Below are 27,943 nucleotides of genomic sequence, written 5' to 3'. Positions count from 1 at the left end.
CACAAACTTTGAGCTAAACACAGGGTGCTGATTGGTGTGTTTACAAACCTTGAGCTAGATACAGAGTGCCGATTGGTGTATTTACAATCCCTGAGCTAGACATAAAGGTTCTCCAAGGCCCCACGAGAGCAGCTAGATACAGAGTGTTGATTGGTGCACTCACAAACCCTGAGCTAGACACAGGGTGCTGATTGGTGTGTTTACAAACCTTGAGCTAGATACAGAGTGCCGATTGGTGTATTTACAATCCCTGAGCTAGACATAAAGGTTCTCCAAGGCCCTACCAGAGCAGCTAGATACAGAGTGTCCATTGGTGTACTCACAAATCCTGAGCTACACACAGGGTGCTGATTGGTGTATTTACAATCCCTAAGCTAGACATAAAGACTCTCCACGTCCTCACCAGACTCAGGAGCCCAGCTGGCTTCACCCAGTGGATCCCGCCCCGGGGCCGCAGGTGGAGCTGCCTGCCAGTCCTACGCCATGCGCTCACAGTCCTCAGCCCGTGGGCGGTCGGTGGGACTGGGCGCCCTGGAGCAGGGGGCGGCGCTCATCGGGGAGGCTCCGGCCGCACAGAAGCCCATGGAGGGGGTGGGAGGCTCAGGCATGGCGGGCTGCAGGTCCCCAGCCCTGCCCCATGGGAAGACAGCTAAGGCCCAGTGAGAAATCCAGTGCAGCGCCAGTGGGCCGGCACTGCTGGGGGACCTAGTACACCCTCCGCAGCCACTGGCCCGGGTGCTAAGCCCCTCACTGCCCGGGGCCTGCAGGGCCCGCTGGCTGCTTCGAGTGCGGGGCCGCCAAGCCCACGCCTACCTGGAACTGCAGCTGGCCCGCAAGCGCCGCGCACAGTCCCGGTTCCCGCTCGCACCTCTCCCTCCACACCTCCCTGCAAGCTGAGGGAGCCGGCTCTGGCCTCGGCCAGCCCAGAAAGGGACTCCCACAGTGCAGCGGTGGGCTGAAGGGCTCCTCAAGTGCCGCCAAAGTGGGAGCCCAGGCAGAGGAGGTGCTGAGAGCAAGCGAGGGCTCTGAGGACTGCCAGCACGCTGTCACCTCTCACCGGGAGGCAGAGGTTGCAGTGAGCCAAGATCGTGCCATTACGCTCCAGCCTGGGGCAACAAGAGCGAAACTCCGTATCAAAAAAAAAAAAAAAAAAAGTCAATTTCCAGGAGGCAAGGTCTTCCAGTTTTTGCTTGTCTAGAAAAGCCTTCATTTCATCTTCATATTGAAAATATTCTTACTCCGTGTAATTCTAGGTTGATAAAGTATTTTTTTCTTTCAGTATTTTAATGATGTTGCTTCTTTATCTTCTGGTTGTCATGGTTTTTCACAGGAAGTCTGTTATGCTTGTCTTTGCTCCTCTCTATACAATGTGTCTTTTCTAGCTCATTCTAGGATTTCCCTTTTATCACTGATTTTTAGTTATTTGATTACGTTGTACTTTGGTATGATTTTTTAAAGTTTATTTTGCTTGATATTTGTTGAGTTCTTGGGATCTGTGAGTTTATAGTTTTCATCAAATTTAATTTTTTCAGCTACTATTTCTTTAAACATGTTTTCGGTTCCCTTTTTTTCTGGAACTTCAATAATACATATTGCAGACAAAACATTGTCTCACAAAATCACTGGTATTCTATTCATTCATTTTCAGCCCATACTCCCTCCACCCCATACTCCCTCTCACCCTCACAAGATTCTGACAAAACATGCCAGGCTGCCACTCTGTGGAGAAGTCCACTTCATCCAATTTAGTTTCTTGCTCTGTCACCCAGGCTGGAGTGCAGTGGTGCTATCTCGGCTCATTGCAACTTCCACCTCCCGGGTTCAAGGGATTCTCCTGCCTCAGCCTCCTGAGTAGCTGGAAATACAGACATGCGCTACCACACCCAGCTAATTTTTGTATTTCTAGTAGAAACAGAGTTTTGCCATGTTGGCCAGGCTGCCCTCGAACTCCTGACCTCAGGTGATCTGCCCACCTCAGCCTCCCAAAGTGCTAGGATTACAGGCGTGAGCCACCGCACCCGGCCCAGTTCAGTTTCTTATATCCTTCTCTGGGCCACTGCTGTCTCCCCTCCTGTCCAACCCTGATATCTGCTTTGCTCTGCCTCACCTAATGATCTGGGGCTTAATCATTCAGGAAGGGAAGAGAAAGTAGAAAACAAAATTGATTTATGTTTTTAAAAGATGCTGTGTGAAAACGGGCATGTAGGAGGGCAAGAGTGAAAAAATTAAGAGCAGTAATTATTGCTTGAACTAGGATGGTAGCAGGGGAGATACCTTTCAGTGGATGAATACAAGCTATGTTTTGAAATTAGAAAAGTAGAACCAATAGGAAGTGTTGAAAGGCTGCATGTGGTGGATGACACGAAAAGAAGTCAAGAACAACTTCTAGCTTTGGGGCTTACGCAGAGTTGGAAATTAGTTCTATTTATCTGAATGAATAGGGATGAAGTGGAAGTTGGAAATATTAGACTTTGAACTTTTTGTGCCCATTAGATATCCAGGAGACTGTTGGCAGTTGGAAACCTGCACTTAGTTCTTAGAGGAGAAATCAGATCAAAAGACGTGAAACTGGAAGTCATTTAAATATACATTGTATTTAAAGCCATGAAGCTGACTGAGATCGCTTGTCTGGGAGAGTATGTTGGAGAATAGGGCGCTGGACCAAGCTCTGGCCACTGCATCACTCAGATAGAGGAGGAGACGCAAATGAATGAGACTGAGAAGGAGCATCCACTAAGGCAGAAAGAAAACTCTAAAAAGTGAATCAAGGAAGTCAAGAGAATAGAGAGGCTCTAGAAAAATATGGCAGTTAACTGAATTGATTTTTGCAGAGAGATCAAGTAAGATATGGCCTGGGCCATGTCCATTGGATTCAGAGACAATATGGAAGTGAGTTTAGTTTATTGAAAACAGATTTGCATGATGGGGTAGACCCCAATTGGAATGAATAAAAGAATAAGTATATATGGAGGCTTACGGATTTCATAGAAGAATAAAAAGTAGAGAAATAACAAAACACATACCTCCACAAGGACAAACGATGGAGAGATAACAGCAGAGGAGATATTTTTGTTTTTTTGAAGGTAATAGGCAGATGAGTGGTAACTCTCCAACACAACAGAGAAAGCTTCAACATACAGGCCTCCATTGGGGGTGAGAGTAAGTCAACTACTGGTAGATTATTAATTCTGTGGAATCCTGGAAAGATTCGGGAATTGCAACTGGGTTCCTCTAAAGATTTGGGTGTGGCATGTGACTAAATACAGGAAGGATAGTTGAAATACAATGTAGCTAGGAACTGTCTCTCAGCTCCAGATCACTCCTTCCACTCAAGCACTTGGATGAATACACCTCTCTTCCTTTTAACAGCTTAGGGTTTTATCTCTGGAGATACTGAAACCAAAGAAACTCTAGATCAGTAATCCCAGGCACTGCTGAAGGCAGGAGTGAAAGTGTATCCAGAATTGGTGGGTTCTTGGTCTGACTTCAACAATGAAGCCGTGGACTCTCGCCGTGAGTGTCACAGTTCTTACAAGTGGTGTGTCCTGAGTTTGTTCCTTCTGATGTTCAGATGTGTTCGGCGTTTCTTCTGGTGGGTTCGTGATCTCACTGGCCTCAGGAGTGAAACTGCAGATTTTCGCAGTGAGTGTTACAACTCATAAACGCAGTGTGGACTCAAAGAGTGAGCAGCAGCAATATTTATCACAAAGAGTGAAAGAACAAAGTTTCCACACTATAGAAGAGTACCCAAGCGGATTGCCACTGCTGGCTCAGGGCAGCCTGCTTTTATTCCCTTATCTGGTGGCACCCACATCCTACTGATTGGTCCATTTTACAGAGCGCCGATTGGTTTTACAGAGAGCTGATTGGTCTGTTTTGACAAGGTGCTGATTGGTGTGTTTACAATCCCTGAGCTAGACACAAAAGTTCTCCAAGTCCCCACAGAGCACTGATTGGTGCATTTACAAACCTTGAGCTATACACAGGGTGCTGATTGGTATGTTTACAAACCTTGAGCGAGACACAGGGTGCTGATTGGTGTATTTACAATCCCTTAGCTAGACATAAAGATTCTCCAAGTCCCCACCAGATTAGCTAGACACAGGGTGCTTACTGGTGTGTTTACAAACCTTGAGCTAGACACAGAGTGCTGATTGGTGTATTTACAATCCCTTAGCTAGACATAAAGATTCTCCGAGTCCCCACCAGATTAGCTAGACACAGGGTGCTGATTGGTGCATTTGCAAACCTTGAGCTAGACACAGAGTGCTGATTGGTGTATTTACAATCCCTTAGCTAGACATAAAGGTTCTCCAAGTCCCCACTACACTCAGGAGCCCAGCTGGCCTCACCTAGTGGATCCCGCACCTGGGCCGCAGATGGAGCTGCCCGTCAGTCCCACGCCGTGCGCCAGTACTCCTCAGCCCTTGGGCAGTCTATGGGACCGGGTGCCGCAAAGCAAGGGGCAGCGCTCGTCTGGGAGGTTCTGGCTGCACAGGAGCCCATGGCGGCGTGGGGGAGGCTCAGGCATGGCGGGCTGCAGGTCCCAAGCCGTGCCCCTCAGGGAGGCAGCTGAGGTCCGGCGAGAATTGGAGCGCAGCACCCGCTGGCACTGCTGGGGAACCTGGCGCACCCTCCGCAGCTGCTGGCCCGGGTGCTAAGTTCCTCACTGCCTGGGGCCAGCTGTGCTGGCCACGCCAGCCCGAGGCTCAGAGTGTGGGGCCCCCCGAGGCCACGCCCACCTGGAACTAGTGCTGGCCCGCAAGTGCCGCAGGCAGCCCGGGTTCCCGCCCGTGCCTCTCCCTCCACACCTCCCTGAAAGCTGAGGGAGCTGGCTCCGGCCTCGGCCAGCCCAGAGAGGGTCTCCCACAGTGCAGCGGGGGGCTGAAGGGCCCCTCAAGCGCAGCCAGAATGGGTGGCGAGGCCGAGGAGGCTCCGAGACTGAGCGAGGGCTGCCAGCACCCTGTCACCTCTCAAAAGGTTTTACTGAAACTATGCAATTAAGGAAATGCTTACACCCTGAAATGTAAAACCCACATTACCTATTCCCTTGCTCAGCTTCCAGCACTTCAGCAGCTATGCTAGTATGCTCTAGACAGGATCTGGAGAATTCTTCTTGTGGAAAGAAATTAGCCAACACTAGATACTGACATTTTGAGGATCTTCCCAATCTAAACTGCCACGTCTCTGCTAAATTACCCTAAAGCTAAGTCCACCAGTTGACAGGCCCTACCCCTGCTCACAGAGCTTCCAGGCATCATATTAGTGCCTCACTCAAATGCAAAGGACATTCTGGGATTACCAGATATTTGAGAAAAATCTCTAGCTTGAAATATAGAGACCAAAACAAATATCCCTATGAAGCAAAGCCAGAGAGAACTGAGACAATGCAAACAGCAAAACCAACTTCAAATGTCCTCAGCAATATAAGAGAAAGTATAGCACCCACAAAAAAAAAAAAAAGTAAGAGATGCCATCTTAAAAATGGTTGTAGAGAAAAAAAAGATCTCTTTGAAAAAAAAAAACCTCAAAATTCACTAGAAGGATTTGAAGACTTTAGAAGCTGAGGAAATCTCCCCAGAAGAAAAATAAAACGACAGAGTTGGAAGACAGAAGAAGAAATATAAGAAAATTAGAGTGTCAGCCCAGGAGGTCAAACATCCAAATTATAAGATTTTTTCAGAAAGACAGAACAGAGAAAATGGACGAGAGGCAATTATCAAAGAAAAAAATGCAATAAAATTTCCCAGAACTGACTGATACAACTTTCTACTGTGCAAATTCCTAACACAATGAAAGAATCCATACTATGACACCATATCATGAGATTTTAGAACAGTAGTTTTAAAAATCTGAAATCCTCCAGAATAAAAAGAATGGGTCTTTTACAAGAGGTCAGTAATCTAAATATCAGACTTCACAATCTAGAATCTAGGAATAGTGGATCAACGCCTTTAAAATCCTGAGAAAAATCATATCCATCCTAGAATTCTATAACCAGCTAAACTATGAGTCAAATGTGAGGGTGGAATAAGACATTTTCAGATGTATAAGGTCTATGGACAGCTGGGCCCATTTTTCTCTTCTTCCTGGGCACATGGCTAAGTTACATTTGTCAACCTCTCTTGTAGCTAGGTAGGGCTACATGTCTAAGCCCTAGTCAGAGGCCCCTGAAGGGAAGGAATACATATTAATTTCCACTTCATTTCTTTAAGAGTAAATACCTATTCCTTGATTTCTGCTTGTATATATATTTTTAATTTCTGTATATTATCATGTTTTGACATCTTAACAAACTTTTCTAGCTAGGGAGAGACAGGACCTTCCAGGGCTAGCCAATTCTTAAAAGTAGCAAAGGGTCCAGCCAGGAGCATGAGCTGATATGCAGACTAACCATTCCAGAGCCATAGCTCCTCTATCTGGCCCATATACTCCAGGAAACAATATTTATCTGCCTTAGTCATTCCAAAGTCAAGTACTAGGCAACTAGGTGGTAATCAGCCATATAGCTCAAAGAACACAGGAATTATTCAAACCAGCCAATCCTAAACTGTTCACCCTGCCTTTCCTTGCCTTTCCCACAGAAACCCAATAAAAGGAAAGACATAAATCTTTCCTTCACTCCTGTCTTCTGCCTCCTGACTACCTTGATGTCTTTCTCAGGTGGTCCCGCATGGCAGTGCCATGCCTCCTGTCTCTAGGGCCTGTAAGCCTCTCCTCTTGTGGCTGCACTTTGACTGACTGTATCATAAAATAATACAAAATACTGTTTTTCTTCCCTCTCCTTGGGCTGAAATGATGATGACACTGGAAACCATATGTTGAAGACGGAAGAACCATATTCACCCAGGATCCCTGAATGACTGCATGGAGCAGAGCTCCCACCATCCTATAATACTTACCTTAGGACTGGTACAAGGGAGAAAAATAAACTTGTTTTTCAAAGCCACTTTCGGGATCTCCTTGTTACAGCAGCTTAGCATTACCCTAACAGTGCATAAGGTTTTAAAATAATTTCCCACCATAAACTCTCTCTCTCAGGAAGCTTCTAGAGAAAGTGATGCTCCAAGATGGAAAAATAAAGCCAGAAAAAAGATAAGAATTTACAAGGGAAAAAAGGGAATTTCCAGAATGTTGCTGAATACAGATTGCAGGACAAGAGATCTAGCAAGCAACCAGTACTGGTTGGACAGAGGCTTCTAAATGGGATTGCTCTGGTTGGACAGAGGCTTCCAAATGGGATTGCTCAAGGGAAAAAAGTGAAACTGATAGATTGCCTCATGTGTTTGGAAAAGACAGGGATACTTCTGGTGGAGGTTTTGGGATGAATTAATTACATATATGAAGAAAACTATGGACATTTTAAAAATGAGGCTATTATTAATATCTAGAAAAACAAAAATTACAAGAACGGATGGTCATCACAATGCAATTATATGACCCAGTTATAAATGTTACTAGAGGTCATTTATACTTATTATAATGTCATCACAATGCAATTATATGACCCAGTTATAAATGTTACTAGAGGTAAAATTTATAGTTATCATAATGTAAACACTAAATGCTAGTTTAACACCAAAAATTTGATACAGTCATTTGGGGAGAATTGTGAGCGGGAATGTGAGACAGTAAGTGTGTAGGGGGAGTGGTCTAACCTAAATCTTTCTTTTCATTAGAAGGAAGACAATAAATCATGCCCAAAGCAGGAAAAAAAACCCAAAAAACCTCAACCAACAAAGAAGTAATGGTAGTAAGAGAATTTATGGCCGGGTGCAATGGCTCACGCCTGTAATCCCAGTGCTTTGGAAAGCTGAGGTGAGAGGATCCCTTGAGCCCGGGAGTACCAGGCTGCAGTGAGCTATGATGGTGTCTCTGCATTCCCGCCTGGGTGACAGAGTGAGATCTTGTCTCTAAATAAATAGATAAATGCAGTATGAACGTAAATGCCAACAGGAACCCTGGGAAGCAGGACTCAGAATAAGAAGCAATTGGGGCAAGGGAATCAGGGGCTGAAGTTTTATGAGAAGCCTTGTAGGACTACAAGTATTTCTTTTTCAGAACTGCTTACATCCATTACCTAATACAATAAAATAAAATAAACAAGTGAGTGGGAGGTGAGAAGTGACATAGCAAGTGTGGGGAAGTCCTTCAAGAATGGGGGTGAGGGGCCAGGCCCGGTAGCTCACACCCGTAATCCCAGCACTTTGGGAGGCCAAGGTGGGTAGATTGTCTGAGCTCAGGAGTTCGAGTCCAGCCTGGGCAACACAATGAAACCCCGTCTCTACTAAAATACAAAAAATTAGCTGGGCGTGGCGGTGTGCGCCTGTAGTCCCAGCTACTCAGGAGGCTGAGGCAGGAGAATCGCTTGAACCTGGGAGGCAGAGGTTGCAGTGAGCCGAGATTGCAGCACTGCACTCTAGCCTGGGCGACAGAGCCACACTCCATCTCCAAAAAAAAAAAAAAGAATGGGGGTGAGGAGGAGAGTGGAGGGAGAGGTGGTGGCTGAGGAGTGATGCGGGGACGTTAGGATGGACATCATTCAGTGTTTGGTCCAGGGACCTCTGGGATCACACTGTCTGAAGAACCCACGCCATCCCACCAAGCTTACTGAATCAAGATCTTGCTTGGTGGGGTGTCAGGGCCTGGAAACCCAAGTTTTTAATCGTCTCCTTGGATGATACTTGTGCATACAGAACTGAGCTTGTTTGGATGCTGATGGAAAGGACCCAAGAAAGGTAAAGTGAGATGGGAGGGGAAGGAGAAATGCACTGAGCAAAGCCCCTGAGACGGCAGGAGGGTGAGACGGCGCCCAGCATTCAGATGGAGGAGTTGGTCCTTGCTAATCCACTGTAATGGGGCTACAGGAGACACTGTTGGTTACTTTATAGATCTAGTGGTAGGAAAAGAGGAGGGGCCTTTCAGCCCTTGCACACTTGCTCCCTTTTGTTAGGAAATATTATTTAAGTCTATGTTTTACAGTAGACCAAGTGTTCCATGGGGGTCAAGACCATGGCATTTCCCACTCCATTCCTCACCATGGCCTAGCACGCAGCAGTGCCTGGCCCAGAGGAGGAGCTCTATAAATGTTTGTTGAATGACTACATGAATGACAGTTTCTTCTGAGGTAAGGGGACTCTTGTTTAAAATCAGACAGATAGGACTGGAGTTCAGGATTAGGACAGGCGACGGGCAGATCTGGAAGGCATGGGTAGGTAGAGAACAGTTGAAGCATTCAGGGTGAAGGCAAGGGGAAAGAGAAGAAAAAGAACGCCGAGGGAAGTGCTGAAGCGGGCGAGGGAGCGAATCCAGAGTGGGGTGCAGGAAACAGATGCATACTGAGGAAGAAGGGGGAAGCACTCCAAATCCTCCACATCATCCAACCTATACCTTCTCTTTCAACCGCACCTCCCACTTCTTGACGAGCCATCCTACAGTAAAGGCAATGGAATGGATGAGCCAATTAACCTGGTGTCTCATAATTAGGGAAGATATGTTGATGTAAGAAATCAAAGACTGGAGTGAACAGTACTATCTCAGACAGCCCATTGGAGTCACACGGAGCCCAATTCACTTCTCCCCTGGGCTGTTTCCTTTCACAGCCATTGCTGATCCAATGTCAGAGCCAACCCCTCAGTGGCCGAACTCCGGTTTGTTTCTACCAGGGAAGTTCTCAGGGGATTATACATGGATTTGGAATCAGGCAGCATCCGAAGAAGGGTTGAAGCAAAAAATCAAAAAACAGTAGATGTTGGCGTAGATGCAGTGATCAGGGAACACTTCTACACTGCTAGTGGGAATGTAAACTAGTACAATCACTATGGAAAACAGTGTGGAGATTTCTTAAAGAACTAAAAGTAGATCTACCATTTGATCCAGTAATCCCACTACTGGGTATCTACCCAGAGGAAAAGAAGTCATTATACAAAAAAGACACTTGCACACACATGTTTATAGCAGCACAATTCACAATTGCAAAGTCATGGAACCCAAATGCCCATCAATCAACGGTGGATAAAGAAACTGGCATATATATACGATGGAATACTACTCAGCCATAAAAAGGAATGAATTAATGGCATTTGCAGTGACCTGGATGAGACTGTAGACTATTATTCTAAGTGAAGTTACTCAGGAATGGAAAACCAAACATCGTATGTTCTCACTGATAGGTGGGAGCTAAGCTGTGAGGACTCAAACGCATGAGAATGATACAGTGGACTTTGGGCACTAGGGAGGAAGGACGGGGGAGGCACGAGAGATAAAAGACTACAGATAGGGTGGGTGCGGTGTACACTGCTTGGTGACGGGTGCACCAAAGTCTCACAATTCACCAATAAAGCACTTACATAACCAAATATCACCTGTACCCAAATAACCTATGGAAAAAAAACAAAGAAGGATTGAAGGATTTTTACTTGACTTTAGACTGAGATCCTGGTTTTAATTTGGAATTAAGAATGCTATTGGAACTAGAGTTTTCCGGTTAAAAAAAAAAACTTTTATCCAAGATACAAAGGAAAGTAAAATCTCACCCCCCTCCATTTCCCCAGCACCGCCCCACCGCCCCACCACATGTGCTCACAACCACAGCTGGGGGAGACTAATACAGATTTGCTTCTAAGACAGCATCAGAATCATGGTCAGTGGAATTGGGATCAGTACTGGCTTTTGCAGAAATGGGCAAAAAAAAAAAAAAAAAAATGAATCATCATTGTTTCTGGAAGAAGAGTCATGCCTGGGCAGGGGATTCCCCATCTCCTTCAGGGCTTATGTGGCCTCCATGCCCCTCTCCCTCCTTAACTGCTAAGTCACTTACTGGGTCCCAGAAGTCCAAAGAGAAGCAGCCACAGGAACCAGAAAGCAGGAGAGATATTTCCTCTTCTCATCTCTAAATGATGCACATAGAAGTTGTCATTTAGATGCCTGGGTTCCAAAGGAAGGATAGGTCAAAGAGGCAGAGAGACAAGGGGCAAACCCCCTGGGCCTTGATAGAAAATAAAGTTGCACAAAAAGACCCAAAGGCCAGCCAGTGCCAGGGTAAGCCTTGTAGGCAGATGGCATGGTTGGGGGGAGCCCCCAAATTGCTCCACAGTTTGGCTTCTTATTTTTCTTCTTTTTTCCTCGCAAACGTGTCTGTGGCATTTATAGCTGATACTGAGTAGGGGAGGCCAGAACTTTGGGTCCTCCCTCCCCAGGGAGGGGCATTTCTGCGCTGTGCTTTCTGCAGGGCCGTTTGGAGAGATGTACCCTACAGGAATCAAGGCGGAGGAGAGAGCAGAGTCGGCAAGACCAGAGGGCGCACACATGAGGAGGGGCAGGGAGGGAGGCAGAATGAGGGGATCAAACTTGTCGGAGTGGAAGGGACCCACCCTTTGAACCAGAGCTGACCTGAAACCTGTTTTCCCTGGGTATGCCTCATTTTCAAAGCAGGAGGCCTTTGTAGAAGAAAGAAGGAAGAAGAGAAGAAAAGGAAACAAATGGATGGTAAAGGTCAATAGCAGTCTATCTAGGGGAAGCTGGGGATTTGGAGGGTGATAAGAGCATCAGGACACACGCCCGGCTTTCTCCAGAGTGCTCCTTCCCAGCTGCAGAGCAGCACATGGCTACGTGAGTGATACACTCCACTCCCTGTGAGCTCTCCAAGGGTGGGGAAAGTGGACACTGAGTGAGTCTCACTTCTAGTATCAAGCGGAAGTGAGTAGGGAAGAGGATGGGGCACGGAACTACCCATTTCCCTGAGTCAATCTTTGGCAATGGCTCTTAAGCATAGGTCAGGGACCCTGACTCACCTGCGTCCCTATTTCTAGGCTCACAACTAGCAGTTGATTGAAATTTACCCCGTGTAATTCAGATATGCAAGGAAAAATGTAGTTTGGCTTGCTATAACTCACCCAACTCAGTTTCCAGACTCTCTTTCCCACCAATGGCAGGGAAGCCTGGGGTTGGAAATGAGGATACGGGTATAAGCTTGCCAAATATTGGTGATGAAATTTCATTTTCTTTTAAAAGTGTCTCTTTTGGAAGGCATACTGTATGGTTCTAATTATATGAAAGTCAAGTACATGGAAAAATCAACTGATGATGATTAAAGTCAAAATACTGGCTACCTCTAGGGTGGCACTGATGGGGAGGAGGCAGGGGAGGCTTCTGGGGTGATAAGAATGTGGCACATCTTGATCTGGAAAGCGGGTAGGTGAGTGTATGCATGTGTTAAGATTCAACAATTGGCCGGGTGCGGTGGCTCATGCCTGTAATCCCAACACCTTGAGAGGCTGAGGTGGGAGGATTGTGTGAGCCCAGGAGTTCAAGAGCAGTCTAGGCAACATAGCAAGACCCTGTCTCTATTTCTTTAAAATAAATACATTAAAGAATTAAATAAAATTCAACGACTTGAGCACTTATGTGTCCACTCTGCACATTTTACTGCATATATTTTAAGCCTCAATTTAAAGATTAAAAACAACAGTCAAGGGTACAAACTTTCAGTTATAAGAAGAATGAGTTCTGGAACTTTAATCACATGGAGACTATAATTAACAATATTGTATTGTCTATCTGAAATTTGCTAACACACACAGAAAAGAAATGGTAAATATGTGTTGGTGATGTGTTCATTAGTTTGATAGTGGTAATTATTTCACAATGTATACTCATCAAATCAACACATTGTACACGCTGAAAACATATAATTTTTGTCTATTTTACCTCAGTAAGCTTGGGGGGAGAATTAAAAACAATAAGAAAGAAAAAAATTTTGGTGGCTCACGCCTGTAATCCCAACACTTTGGGAAGCCAAGGTGGGCGGGTTAGGAGTTTGAGACCAGCCTGATCAACATGGTGAAACCCCATCTCTAATAAAAATAAAAATAAAAATAAATTAGCTGGGCGTAGTGGCGGGTGCCTGTAATCCCAGCTACTTGGGAGGCTGAGGCAGGAGAATTGCTTGAACCCGGGAGGCAGAGGTTGTAGTGAGCCAAGATCGCACCACTGCACTCCAGCCCGGGTGACAGAGTGAGACTCCGTCTCAAAAAAAAAAAAAAGAAAGAAAAAGAAAACAATGTTTCAGGTCTCTTTTGGGTAAATACTTGGCCATATGAAATTTAATGCCCCTCTCAGGACTGTTTTCCCCCCATTTCAAGGGCTCTCCCCTCCACTTCTTTCCTGCACGTCCTCTGAGGGGGAATTTATGCCTCCTACTGGCAATGTGGGAACAAGACTTCGGCCCTTCAAGCTGGTCTCTCCTGAGCTCCCTCTCGTTCCATCTGGTCACTGGGATCCTGCATTGGCATCCAACGACTCTGAGACACAGTACTACCATTGTCTTCATTTTACAAATAAGGAAACTAAACCATGGAGAAGTCAAGTAATTTGGCCAAACTCACAAAGTTAGTAAGTGATGGAGTCAGGAATTAAACTATCAGTCCAGCTGCAGAGCCTGTGCTCTTCGCCATTATAAAAGGAGGTTGTCATGTCCAAACAGGACTTTGAGTCTGGCCCCTGAATATCTTCCTCCAACCAGACTGCCTGTTCCCAACTTCATCTGACATAGAAATTCTGGAGCTGTCACTGTTAGAAAGTATGCGGAATATAAAACCACAAAGCTACAGAGGCCCAGCTATGTGGAATTTGAAAAACAGATGGACGAGTCATCATAAGGGACATGTCGGGAAAATTAATGAGTTAAGAGCAGGTTGCTCGAGTGGAGCTGACTGGTCCGAGAACATTTTTTTAAATGCCTCCTTGGAGAGTCTGAGTCATGAGGGTTCTGATGACTAGGAAGGAAAGAGCAAACAGGGGTTGTGGGCTTAGGACTTGGGTTTGTTTTAGAGAGTAAGAGATTAGTTTCGCACAGAGTAGGGAATTCCAGGGACCCGGCAATTACGTAGAGTACACAATTTATAAACATAGCATAGATTTGAAATTCGCCCTTGAATGACCTGTGCTGAAAGTTTGATTTAGGAAAGGCCTGTGTTCCAGATTCTCGCTGCCATCTCTCTCAACCTCACCCTGTACCGGCTTAGATTTTCTTCAACCTGGCTGGACAAGGGGTCTGCTTTCCCTTCTAATTTTAGTTTACCCCCAATTCAAGTAGAGTTATTTTCATCACAAGGAGTCTCAATGGTACCTTCCATATAGCATATAGTTCATCAGAAAGTAACAAAAAGAAGAAGATTTTCTGTGAAATATAGCCTGATATGGTCTATGTCTGTGACCCATTTTCCCACAAACGGACCACTCTGATGGCAGCCACTGTCCCTGGATTTGGAGATCTCTCCTACAGCTGCTTAAGCTTCTTCAGCTATCTGGAGCCACCATTTGTGTAGAAATGTCCTATGTGCTTGAGTGCCCATCTTCAAATTTTCTGTTGTGTATACGTTCAAAAACAATTTTGAAAAGCTGTTTTCCCTCCTCTGTCTATGTTTAATCTAAATTTTTTATCATACATTTAATTATTGCAAAGAATGTAATTTCTACCATATTGTAAATGTAGACATTGAAATAATAAAAGTTTTTACTACTCTTTAAAATGTTTCCAGTAGACTCTAAACACTAGCAGCATCTCAATACTCATCATTATCCTTTTTTTAAATTTTATTTTACTTTAAGAGATGTGGGGGGTCTCACTATATTGCTCAGGCTGGTGTTGAACTCTTGGGCTCAAGCAATCCTCCCGCCTCAGCCTCCCCAAGTGCTGGGATTACAGACGTGAGCCACTGCACCTAGCTTCCATTATCCTTTTGAATAACATATAAGCAAGCTCTTCCTCAATAGTCTAGGTTTTTAAATGGTTCCTCCTGCTCTACGAACTTATAGTTCCATTTTACTTTCCCCATATTATTCTACTGGTCTCTCTCCATATATCATATTAAATACCAGTAACATAAATATTCTACTGCTATACATATATCACAGTATGTCTAATTAATAAACCTTATCTCTTAGAGCAGTTTTGGGTTCACAGCAAAATTAAGTGGTAAGTACAGAGGTCCCATAGACTCCCTGCCCCTACGCAAGCACAACCTCCCCACCTCGTTGACGTCAGGGTTTACTCTTGTATATTCTATGGGTTTTGACAAATGTACAATGACAGGCATCCACCATTGTAGTATCATATACAGTAGTTTCACGCCCTAAGAATCCTCTGTGCTCCACCTATTCATCACCCCACCCTCGTAACCCCTGGCAACCATTGACTCTTGACTGCCTTTATAGTTTTGTCTTTTCTGGGATGTCATATGGTCTGTAATAATTTTTTGCTTGAAAAGCTTTTATTGATCACCCTGTCATACTCCTCTGCATCAAAAGATATGTTTATAAACGTCTAAAAAATTTCCTGTGCCTTGTAAGACTCTGTGTTCAATTTATAGCCCCCAGTAACTTTTTGGTGAATTAAGCAAAAATGCTTCTCTTATGATACGTCTTTCCATATTTTCAAGAAAATATGAATCATTAACTTACCTAACATTTTTTATTTTTCATTTTTTTGAGACGGAGTCTCGCTCTGTCGACCAGGCTGGAGTGCAGTGGTGCAATCTCGGCTCACTGCAACCTCCACTTCCCAGGTTCAAGCTATTCTCTTGCCTCAGCTTCCCACGTAGCTGGGACTACAGGTGCCTGCCACCACGCCAGCTAGTTTTTGTATTTTTAGTAGAGATGGGGTTTCACCATGTTGGTCAGGCTAGTCTCAAAAGCCTGACCTCAGGTGATCCACCCGCCTCCGCCTCCCAAAGTGCTGAAATTACAGGCATGAGCCACCTCGCTTGGCCCACTTACCTAACATTTTAAAAATAACACAACTTACAGAGCGCTTACGAAATGCAGGACTATTCTAAGCCTTCACAATAACCCCATGAAGTGGGTACTATTTTCACTCTCATGTTTACAAATATGGAAACTGAGACCCAGAAGAATTAAGGAATTTGTGGAAAGTCACAATGAAATTGGATTTGAAACCAGAAATTCGAGCTCCACAATCTGTGCTCTTAGCTGACATGCCGTATGGCCTCTCTAAGTGTCTTTTATCTTAAGGTGTAACATTAATCAGTTGGAGCTTACAACATCTTTCTCCTTGAAATCATGCCAAATACACAATTGTTACCTAAACCAAGAAACTAGTGAACAGGAAGCTCTTTCCCCTTACAGAAAATGGTGTACAATTCAGGGAAGTGTGCTTCATAGCACATTGCTTTGTCCCAGCAAGTTGTTGACAAATCTTGAATATTCTAAAATAGGCAGACAGACAGATAAGGTGGGTTGGCTGCCATGGGATTTTTCTCCTTGGTTAAATAAGCCACTGCCTCCTCTATTCTTTCTGCTGATTCTGCTCTTGCTCCAATCTCATGAGATACTCCCTCAAGAGGGATGCATTTTTAAAGAGTGGATGGAAGAGAAGAGATTGTTAAAAAAAAAAGAAAGGAAAAAAAGAAGTTTTTATTACTCCTGTTACTTCATTCTACAGTGTATCTGCGTAAATAACACCTTAACACATGCCAAAATTACCAGTTCCTTACACTCCACGTAGCCCTTCACAGGAATTTATATGAGGCAGGAGAAAACAGGAAGTCCTACTCTGGGTATATGATCCCTAAATTAGAGGTGGTTTTTGAGGTATCCCTTCACTAAAAGGCTTTATTTGACACCCTGAAATGTTCTACACCCTGCGGAAATGTGGTAATAATAATATGGGAGCTACAGAGGAAATGTTGGATGTTCATCAAAGAAGAGTCAGAAAAGTGTAGCCCTGACCACAGAGGTGCCCTCAGACAGATCAGTTCTAGGCCACAAGCACATACGGAAGTTGAAGATCTGGAAAATGGTTCCCATCAAACAACCCACGCCTGCATAATACTCTTCAGGAAGTCTTTATGTACGCCCAAGATGTGGGGGCACAGATGCCACGTGAAGATCATTGTGCTAAATCCACAGTGCAAAGGCACAGGTCTAGATGGGCAGCCCTTTAACCCTGTCCACTTCCTGGACTTTTGCTTGGGTCACGCATGCTTGGTGGGCTGGGGCTTTGTCACATTACAGGAGTAGGTGTATTCCATGACGAAAGCTGGGTAATGATGCTTCCAAACTCTACCTGCACACCCCAGTTGCTGGGAGTAATGAGATACTCACAGCACAACTATGTGAATCAATCACAAGGTAAATTGCTCACCAGGGACTCCCCCCTTTTCTCCTTCCTCTAGCTCAAAATGCCCATTCATTTGAGTCATTTGTTGTTTATTTTTGGAAATAATTTTTTAAAATTTGAGACAGAGTCTCACTCTGTCACCCAGGCTAGAGTGCAGTGACATGATCTCAGCTCACTGCAACGTCCACCTCCCAGGTTCAAGTGATTCTCCTGCCTCAGCCTTCCAAGTAGCTGGGACTACAGGCGCGCACCACCGCGCATGGCTAATTTTTGTATTTTTAGTAGAGACAGGGTTTTGCCATGTTGGCCAGGCTGGTCTCAAACTCCTGGCCTCAAGTGATCTGCCTGCCTCAGCCTCCCAGAATGCTGGGATCACAGGTGTGAGCCACCATGTCCGGCCAGGAAATAAAAATTTTTATTTACATAATGTGCCTGGTAAAAATTTAAGAGCTGTATTGAGCTATAATTTACATACCATATAGTTCACCTGTTTAAAGTATATAAACCTGGCTGGGCAAGGTGGGTCATGCCTCTAATCCCAGCACTTTGGGAGGCTGAGATGGGTGGATCACCTGAGGTTAGGAGTTCAAGACTAGCCTGGTCAACAGTGGTGAAACCCCATCTCTACTAAAAATACAAAAATTAGCCAGGCATGGTGGCACTCGCCTATAATCCCAGCTACTTGGGAGGCTGAGGGAGGAGAATCTCTTAAACCTAGGAAGCAGAGGTTGCAGTGAGCCGAGATTGCGCCACTGCACTCCAGCCTCGGTGACAGAGTGAGATTCCATCTCAAATTTAAAAAAATAATAAGAATAAAATAAAGTATATAAACCAGTGGTTTTAGGCCGGGTGCAGTGGCTCATGCCTGTAATCCCAGCACTTTGGGAGTCCAAGGTGGGTGGATCACCTGAGGTCAGGAGTTCGAGACCAGCCTGGCCAACATTGTGAAACCCCATCTCTACTAAAAATACACACACACACACAAATTAGCTGGGTGTGGTGGCACGCACCTGTAATCCCAGCTACTCGGGAGGCTGAAGCAGGAGAATCACTTGAACCTGGAAGGTGGAGGTTGCAGTGAGCTGAGATCACGCCACTGCACTCCAGCCTGGGCGACAGAGCAAGACTCCGTCTAAAATAAATAAATAAATAAACCAGTGTTTTTTAGTATATTTACAGAGTTGTACTTGGTGAAGCTTTTCATAGACAGACTCAAATCTTTTTTCTCTATTCCAGCTCTTCTTTTTTCCCTTCTAATTCTTCTCTTCCATTTCGTCTCTTTTTCTCTGTTTTGAGCCTTATTACTTGCACGTTAGTCTTCCTGGATCTATCCTCCAAATGTATTATATTTGCCGGGTGATTTTTATTCCTGTATAATTGTGTCTGTTTGAGTTATTTTTCGCGCTTGCTCTTCCGGATTACTAGCATAATTCTCTATAATGGCCAGCCTCTTTCAATTTGTCTATTAAAATTTGAAAATACATGTTTTACTATTTTTTTAAAAAATGATCTAGCTGGACACCCTTGCCTGATCTTATTTCTTTTCATGCTTTTCCACATAAGGGTTTCCACAGTTCCTATCAGTGGGAGGCACCTTTTCAGGGTGTTCAACTTGTCTTTCCCTTCTGGTTTCTGGATCCCTTTAAGTGAGCAGATGATGATGATTGCCTGCATATGGCTCAGCGTGGCCTCTCTGTTCCTCAGTGAGCAGGGGCATGCAAACCTTCCCCCAAAGACTGAGGGAGCTGAGAGGCTGTGGAGACAAAGTGACTCCATCTTGGATGCTAATCTGCCATGTTGACTTCTGATTAACCCAGGTCCCATGAGTCACATGGGCCTCATTCCTACTTTATTTACTGTTCTTGGTAAGGACATGTACTTACTGTAAATCCTGTCTTCGTTTTTTGTTTGTTGTTTTGTTTTTAGAGACAGGGTCTTGCTCTGTCACCTAGGCTGGAGTTCAGTGGTGCAATCTCAGCCCACTGCAGCCTCTAACTCCTGGGCTGTAGTGATCCTCCTGCCTCAGCCTCCCAAGTAGCTGGGACCACAGGCACATGCTACCACTCCCAACTAATTTTGGTTTTCTTTTTTGTAGAGATGAGGTGTTGTTTTGTTTCCCAGACTGGTCTCAAACTCCTGCCCCCAAGCAATCCTCCCTCCTCTCCCTCCCAAAGCTCTGGGATTACAGGCATTAGCCACCACATCCAGCCCCTGCCTTTAGATCAAAGCAACCTTGATATTATGGCATAAATTACAGGCTACGACGCACATAGCATTCCTGCCTGTTCTGAAAGGTTGCTTTTAATTGTCTCTACAGGAAGTATACACCCTTTCCGGGGTAAGCCCTGGGTCTGGGGGTAACAGGTGTGGAGATCTACCTGACTTGCTGCCACCCAAGACTACACTTCTGTCTGTAAATTCCCCAGCAAATCACCATTTACTGACAAACTGGATCTATCTGCCTTGTTTTTGGTTTCTCGGCTCCTTCAGCGTTTGGGAGCCACTTTACATGTATGACCCTTTTATGGAACAAAGGCTGAATGAAATAAGTGGCTAACAAATCCAGTTTCTCCAAAAGAAATTTTGAACAAGGACTAAGCAACAGAAGCCACGTCTGGGAGAGCTGCAAGACGATGGACACTCCAGAAAACATCCTTTCTATAGCAAGGTCTTAGGGTAAAATATATGCAGCTGGTCACATCTCAGACTTTCTTGCCAAAACCCATAACCACTCCGGAGGTTAAAGAAGCATGTTTGTGAAGGGTTATTTATGCAGCAGGCATTGTTTGAAGACTGTGCTGCAGTGCACTTTGCTATGCAAAAGTGGACCACTGGTCATCATGATGTGTCCAGAATTGGTGGCTTCTTGGTCTCACTGACTTCAAGAATGAAGCCGCAGACCCTCGCGGTTACTGTTACAGCACTTAAGGTGGCGCGTCTGGAGCTTGTTCTTTCCGATGTTCGCATGTGTTCACAGTTTCTTCCTTCTGGTGGGTTTGTGGTCTCGCTGGCTCAGGAATGAAGCTGCAGATCTTCACGATGAGTGTTACAGCTCACAAAAGCAGCATGGACCCAAAGAGTGAGCAGTAGCAAGATTTATTGCAAAGAGCAAAAGAACAAAGCTTCCACAGTCAGGAAAAGGACCAGAACGGGTTACCACTGCTGGCTGGGGCAGCCTGCTTTTATTCTCTTATCTGGCCCCACCCACATCCTGCTGATTGGTAGAGCCGAGTGGTCTGTTTTGACAGGGTGCTGATTGGTGCGTTTACAATCCCTGAGCTAGACACAAAGGTTCTCCACGTCCCCACCAGATTAGCTAGATACAGAGTGTGGACACGAAGGTTCTTCAAGGCCCCACCAGAGCAGCTAGATACAGAGTGTCGATTGGTGAACTCACGAACCCTGAGCTAGACTCAGGGTGCTGATTGGTGTGTTTACAAACCTTGAGCTAGATACAGAGTGCGGATTGGTGTATTTACAATCCCTGAGCTAGACATAAAGGTTCTCCACATCCCCACCAGACTCAGGAGCCCAGCTGGCTTCACCCAGTGGATCCCGCACCGGGGCTGCAGGTGGAGCTGCCTGCCAGTCCTGCGCCGTGCGCTTGCACTCCTCAGCCCTTGGGTGGTCGATGGGACTGGGCGCCCTGGAGCAGGGGGTGGCACTCGTCGGGGAGGCTCGGGCCGCATAGGAGCCCATGGAGGGGGTGGGAGGCTCAGGCATGGCGGGCTGCAGGTCCCAAGCCCTGCCCCGCGGGAAGGCAGCTAAGGCCTGGTGAGAAATCGAGTGCAGCGCCGGCGGGCTGGCACTGCTGGGGGACCCAGTACACCGTCCGCAGCTGCTGGCCCGGGTGCTAAGCCCTTCATTGCCCAGGACCGGCAGGGCCAGCCAAGCCCACGCCCACCCGGAACTCCAGCTGGCCCGCAAGCGCCGCGTGCAGCCCCGGTTCCCGCTCGCACCTCTCCCTCCGCACCTCTCCCTCCACACCTCCCTGCAAGCTGAGGGAGTGGGCTCCGGCCTTGGCCAGCCCAGAAAGGGGCTTCCACAGTGCAGCGGTGGGCTGAAGGGCTCCTCAAGTGCCGCCAAAGTGGGAGCCCAGGCAGAGGAGGCGCTGAGAGCGAGCAAGGGCTGTGCGGACTTCCAGCACCCTGTCACCTCTCAATGGCAGCTTTGCTTCAAAATGGCGTCCCTGTTGCCGTGCAACAGGCTGTATTCCTACACTCCACCTCTCAAAACTGGCCCTGACAATTTCACGTGCTCATCTCTTCCATGATAGTCCCTGGGCCTAAAGGGAGGACCCTTGATAGTGCATAGCTTTAGCAGCAGTGCGTTGGCTCCACTGGAGGCAGATAACACAGCAGCAGTAAAGGCTCAAACAAGACAGTAAGGAACGTACGAGTACAGCACCTAAACCAAGAAGCAGCTTATGCCACCAGGTGCCCCAGGACCCAAACCAGCTGTGAAGCCAATTATTCAAAGTAGGGGTCTGAGAGCTTGGTTATGTGGGCTTTTATATCAGTCATTAATTTAGCGATATTAACTGATTCATCAGGAATATAAACACAGCAGTTTTTCCAATTGCACAAGTGCCCCGTTGTGCAGCGTGAGTATATGTAAAGCCTGGTAATTTGGGAGGACAGACTTTCTCATGACAGTGACTTCCATGTTTAAAAGAGAGATTCCCATGCAGCTATCATTTAAAGTTTTCTTTTTTTTTATTTTTTGTAGAGTTTGTTTTTTTAATTTTTTGAGTCAGAGTCTCGCTCTATCACCTGGGCAGGAGTGCAGTAGCACGGTCTTGGCTCACTGTAACCTCCACCTCCCAGGTTCAAGCAATTTTCCTGCCTCAGCCTCCCAAGTAACTGGGATTACAGGCATGCGCCACCACGCCCAGCTAATTTTGTTATTTTTTGTGGAGATGGGGTTACACCGTGTTGGCCAGGCTGATCTCGAACTCCCGACCTCAACTGATCCACCTGCCTTGGCCTCCCAAAGTGCAGGGATTACAGGCTTTATAGAGTTTCTATATGCCAGATAATATCTTCAATAACCGGATGAGGAAGACAAATGGAGGCCAAACAATCATACCAATAAAAAACAGATCAGAACCAGTGGGATTTCAAATGAGGGAGATTGATAGGCTTTGTAGTGTGTGAACTATTCAGTCTGTGCCCGTGTATAATCCAAAGAACATCTTCCTAAACATGCAGGGGGTAACCAAGGCCATAAATTGGTACCACATATCCAGGAAGTTCCATTTGGGGCCAACCAAAAGATTCCTGCACACAGTGTCCGTTCTGTAACATGCCCAATGAGTATTTTATTATATTATAGCATAGTATATAAAAATCAGTCTCTTGCTATCCATCACATATCCCTTGTGCAATTTGGCCAAGTATCTTTAGAATGATTCATTTGTTCCCAAGACTGAGGAGCAAGTTGACTAACATGGCCAAAAGACGGAATTAACCAAATAAACCCAGCCTGTTTTTGGGTATCAGGTTGTTTTGTTCTTTATTTAGGGTGTTGTCACTCTCTAGCAGGAAATAGCCTATCCAGCCTGGGGCTATTTGTCGTTCCAAGCTCGGTGTGTTTCCTCCTCGGTAGTATATCTGCTGGCATCTTCATGTGCAAAAGACACTGGTTGTCAATGAGGTCTGGGAGCAAGCAAAGCAGTCGTCTCAATTACCCCTATGGGAACAGTGGTAGGCTTGGGGGACCGTTGTCCTAGACGGTCACATGGGGCAGGCGTCCCTGCTTTGGCTGAATTTAAAGAAATAAAGGTTGGAGATAACACATTCATCTGCCTATGCAAGGTAGGTTTCCCAAATTAGAGTTTGAATTTGTGCTTTCAACAGACTGGTATTTCTTTCAATTAACCCTGCTGCTTGGAGGTTCTATGGGAGATAAAAGTGCCATAGTGTATCATGTTTCCTGGCCCAGTCCTGCATGTCATATCCAGCGAAATGGGTCCCTCGGTCACTGTCAATGTGCCAGATATATCCATACATAGTACTGAGAGCCTCTAAGCCTTTAATAGTACTGGCTTGATTAGCTTGCTTATAGGGAGAATCTTGCAGCAGTCCAGTAGCGGTGTCCATGCAGGTTAACATGTATTTATTTCCTTGGCTTACAGGGACAGTATCTAAATAATCCACTTGCCAATCTGTTACATGGTGGACAGCCTTCTGAATATCTGAATGTGTCCTGCTCAATATGATCTACAATAGAGAACATGGTAAACAATTTGTAAGAGCTGTTGGGAAGGCACTATATATTTTTTGTTGTTGTTGTGGAGATGGGATCTCGATATGTTGCCCAGGCTGGACTCAAACTCCTGGCCCCAAGCAATCGTCCCACCATGGCCTCCCCATGTGTGAGCCACTGTACCAGGACTAGGTCACTATATATATATATATTTTTTTTTTTTTTTTTTTTTTTTTTTGAGACGGAGTTTTGCTCTTATTGCCCTGGCTGGAGTGCAATGGCGTGATCTCGGCTCACTACAACCTCCACCTCCCGGGTTCAAGCAGTTCTCCTGCCTCAGCCTCCTGAGTAGCTGGGATTACAGGTGCATGCCACCACGCCCAGCTAATTTTGTATTTTTAGTAGAGACAGGTTTCTCCATGTTGGTCAAGCTGGTCTCGAACTCCCAACCTCAGGTGATTTGCCCGCCTCGGCCTCCCAAAGTGCTGGGATTACAGGCATGAGCCACCGTGCCCAGCCTGGTCACTACATTTTAAGAGTAATCCTGCTTCCTTGACTGTCTCCCAGCCTACTCTTGCACTTCTGTGACCACTTTTGTTATGTACCCAGGTCAATAGTTCAGAGGCCTGAGCTGGCATGATGCTTCTAATTTTTTTTAGGGTTTTAGCTTCCATGTTTTGTGGAACTGAGTGGTTTTTATGTGCAGTCACCTGAAATACAGTTAAATCAGCCACAAGGCTTTGCGGCTTTTTCCGTATGTCTTGCCACATGTTCATGCCCCATATAGGTTTGTGCATAATCATCCACTTTTCTAGTTCCTGTTGAGCCAGCCACATAATTAGGCCTTTGAATACAGCTCAGCTATCAGTGCAAAGAACCAGGGGCCAGGCTCATATGTGACTATTAACCAGGCTGCTTGCAACTCATCCCAGTGGCTCCTCTGATGCCCACCTGTATCAAACCAGATTGTATCAGTTTGTGGCTGTGTAGCAACAGCGGTCCAAGAACAGCGGTTTCCCCTGCTGGAGTCCTCTGTACACCAAGCATCATCTGGATGCTTACCATGTCAGGTGCTGGAGTTGGAGAGGGTCAGGTGGTATCCTTTGTTTGTTCACGTCATAACAGAGCCTAATGCAGTATGTAATTCTGGGCTTAAGGGACTCATTGCTAGCATTCTTCCTTGTTGCAAATAATCATGCCATTTATTCAAGGTAGGTGTTGGGGCTACAGCGGAGGTGGGTTGTTTAAAAATCCTTCTAACCATCCCTTGATTGGTAGACCTATTCTCACAGTCATGGGAAGGGTCTTTGTTAGCAATTCCACCTGCTGTAAAGCATTCTCTACTACTAGCACTTCTTGTTCAACAGGAGAGTATCTGGTTTTGGCTCCTTTCTTAAAAGGACTGATTCCCTAGACTGCGGTTGCCATAAGGCCCCACTCATATCCTCAGGAGCAGCAGTAACATCCAAAGTCCTAGCTGTACCCTCCAAAGGGGTGCCTAAGGCCTGTGCCTGCTGTACCAACACTTCAGCCTGTTCAAAGCTTCCTGCTGTGGTGTGTCCCAGGCCCAATGTGCCCTTTCTCTGATAAGTCTGTATAGGGATCTCAAAAACTGTGCTAAGTATGGGATGCATACTCTCCAATAACCCAAAAGACCCACAAATGTTTGGATTTCTTTGACTGTTTCTGGAGTTGACATTGTTGGGCTTTGTCAATTATTGCACCCAGTATCAAAGGAGTGTTACCCAACCATGTAACCCCTAAAAACTTCACTGTGGGCCGGGTGCAATGGCTCACACCTGTAATCCTAACACTTTGGGAGGCCAAGGTGGGCGGATCACAAGGTCAGGAGTTCGAGACCAGCCTGGCCAATATGGTGAAACCCCATCTCTACTAAAAATACAAAAGTTAGCTGGGCATGGTGGCAGGTGCCTGTAGTCCCAGTTACTCGGGAGGCTGAGGCAGGAGAATCGCTTGAACCCAGGAGGCGGAGGTGGCAGTGAGACAAGGTCGCACCATTGCAATCCAGCCTGGGTGACAGAGCGAGACTCCGTCTCAAAACAAAACAAAACAAAACAAAACAAACAAACAAAAAATCTTCACTGTGGGCTCTGGGCCTTGCATCTTCTGAGGATTGATGGCCCATCTCCATTCCATAGATGAGCACCCAATACCATAAGACATTACTGCAAACCAAAACAACATGGTACTGGTACAAGAACAGACACATACACCAGTGGAACAGAATAGAAAACACAGAAATAAGACCACGCACCCACGACTATCTGATCTTCAACAAACCTGACGAAAGCAAACAATGGGGAAAGAATTCCCTGTTCAATAAACGGTGCTGGGATAACAGGCTAGCCATATGCAAACAATTCAAACTGGACCCCTTCTTTACACCTTACACAAAAATTAACTCACGATGGATTAAAGACTTAAATGTAAAACCCAAAACTATAAAACCCTGGAAGACAACCTAGGTAATACCATTCAGGACATAGGCATGGGCAAAAATTTCATGACGAAGATTCTGAAAGCAATTGCAACAAAAGGAAAAATTGAAAATGGGATTTAACTAAACGAAAGAGCTTCTGCACAGCAAAAGAAACTATCAACAGAGTAAACAGACAACCTACAGAATGGGAGAAAATTTTTGCAAACTATGCATCTGACAAAGGGCTCATATTCAGCATCTATAAGGAACTTAAACAAATTTATTTTAAAAAAGCAAACAATTCCATCAAAAAGTGGACAAAGGACATGAACAGACACTTCCCAAAAGAAGACATACATGTGGCCAACAAACATATTTTAAAAAGCTAAACATCATTGATTATTAGAGAAACGCATATCAAAACCACAATGATATTGTGCCATTGCACTCCAGCCTGGGCAATAAGAGCGAAACTCCATCTCAAAACAAACAAACAAAAACCCACAATAAGATATCATCTCACGCCAGTCAGAACAGCTATTATTAAAAAGTCAAAAAATAAAAGATGCTGGCGAGGTTGTGGAGAAAAAAGAATGCTTATACACTGTTGGTGGGAGTATAAATTAGTTCAGTCATTGTGGAAGACACTGTGGTGATTCTTCAAAGACTTAAAGACAGATACCATCTGATCCAGCAATCCCATTACTGGGTATATACCCAAAGGAATATAAATCATTCTGTTATAAAAGCACATGGACGTGGCCAGGCACGGTGGCTCATGCCTGTAATCCCATCACTTTGGGAGGCTGAGGCAGGTGGATCACCTGAGGTCAGGAGTTCGAGACCAGGCTGACCAATATGGAGAAACCCCTGTCTCTACTAAAAATACAAGATTATATGGGCGTGGCGCCACATGCCTGTAATCCCAGCTACTGGGGTGGCTGAGGCAGGAGAATCGCTTGATCCCGGGAGGCAGAGGTTGCAGTGAGCTGAGATCGCACCATTGCACTCTAGCCTCGGCAACAAGAGCAAAACTCCATCTCAAAAAAAAAAAAAAATGCATGCATGTGTTCATTGCAGTGGTATTCACAATAGCAAAGACATGGAATCAACCTAAATGCCCATCAGCGATAGACTGGATAAAGAAAATGTGGTATATATACATCATGGACTACTATGCAGTCATACAAAAAGAACAACATCATGTCCTTTGCAGGGACATGGATGGAGCTGGAGGCCATTATTCTTAGCAAACTAATGCAGGAACAGAAAACCAAATACCGCATGTTCTCGCTTATAAGTAGAAGCTAAATGATGAGAACACAGGGACACATAGAGGGGAACAACACCCACTGGGGCCTATCAGAGGGTGGAGGGTGGGAGGAGGGAGAGGATCAGGAAAAATAACTAATGGGTACTAGGCTTAATAGCTGGGTGACGAAATAACCTGTACAAAAAAACCCCCATGACACACATTTACTTATGTAACAAACCTGCATATGAACCCCCGAACTTAAAATAAAAGTTAAAAAAAGAAAAGCCATGGCTGCAGCACAGTAAAAGCTTCAGCGGCTGACATAATGCCAACAAGATAACAAAACTAGAAGAAAAGACGGGAATGCGAAAAAAGACAAGACTCTTTCATGGGCTTTGTGCTGGGTGGATAATAGTTGCACTTATTGGGAGGATAATAATTGCACTTATTTCAGCATACCCCCTGGACAATATGAATCATTTAATGTTGACAACGCCATGTAGGGGCAGGAAGTTGTAGGGGCTCCCATTTTCTTCCTCTCTCAAGAACAGTCTTCACGGAGTGCCTGCGATTGCAGGCACGCGCCGCCACGCCTGACTGGTTTTCGTATTTTTTTTGGTGGAGATGGGGTTTCGCTGTGTTGGCGGGGCCGGTCTCCAGCTCCTAACCGCGAGTGATCCGCCAGCCTCGGCCTCCCGAGGTGCCGGGATTGCAGACGGGAGTCTCGTTCACTCAGTGCTCAATGGTGCCCAGGCTGGAGTGCAGTGGCGTGATCTCGGCTCGCTACAACCTCCACCTCCCAGCCGCCTGCCTTGGCCTCCCAAAATGCCGAGATTGCAGCCTCTGCCCGGCCGCCACCCCGTCTGGGAAGTGAGGAGCGTCTCCGCCTGGCCGCCCATCG

At 45.7% G+C, this 27,943-nt stretch overlaps 1 protein-coding gene across 3 annotated transcripts in view; it reads right to left on the bottom strand.

Moving 5' to 3' along the window:
- The window catches only part of MUC22 (mucin 22), a 29,451-nt gene extending 13,807 nt beyond the window's left edge, over positions 1–15,644 (bottom strand). The window contains exons 1-2 of one of the 3 annotated variants that reach the window (NM_001198815.1): positions 15,463–15,644; positions 10,820–10,926 (exon numbers count right to left, since the gene is read on the bottom strand). In NM_001198815.1, coding sequence (NP_001185744.1) covers positions 10,820–10,889 — 70 coding nt within the window. In that variant the 5' untranslated portion in view covers positions 10,890–10,926; positions 15,463–15,644. Of the gene's footprint in view, positions 1–10,819; positions 11,123–15,462 lie in introns of those variants that run through there. The other 2 variants (NM_001318484.1, NM_001395414.1) reach the window with 2 other exon arrangements.
- Between the last annotated feature and the right edge of the window lie 12,299 nt (positions 15,645–27,943).

The sequence above is a fragment of the Homo sapiens genome, chromosome 6, assembly GCF_000001405.40.
Source record: "Homo sapiens chromosome 6, GRCh38.p14 Primary Assembly".
NCBI lineage: Eukaryota > Metazoa > Chordata > Mammalia > Primates > Hominidae > Homo > Homo sapiens.
The sequence above is the reverse complement of the archived record's forward strand: the minus strand, read 5'-3'. Positions and strand labels throughout refer to the sequence as shown.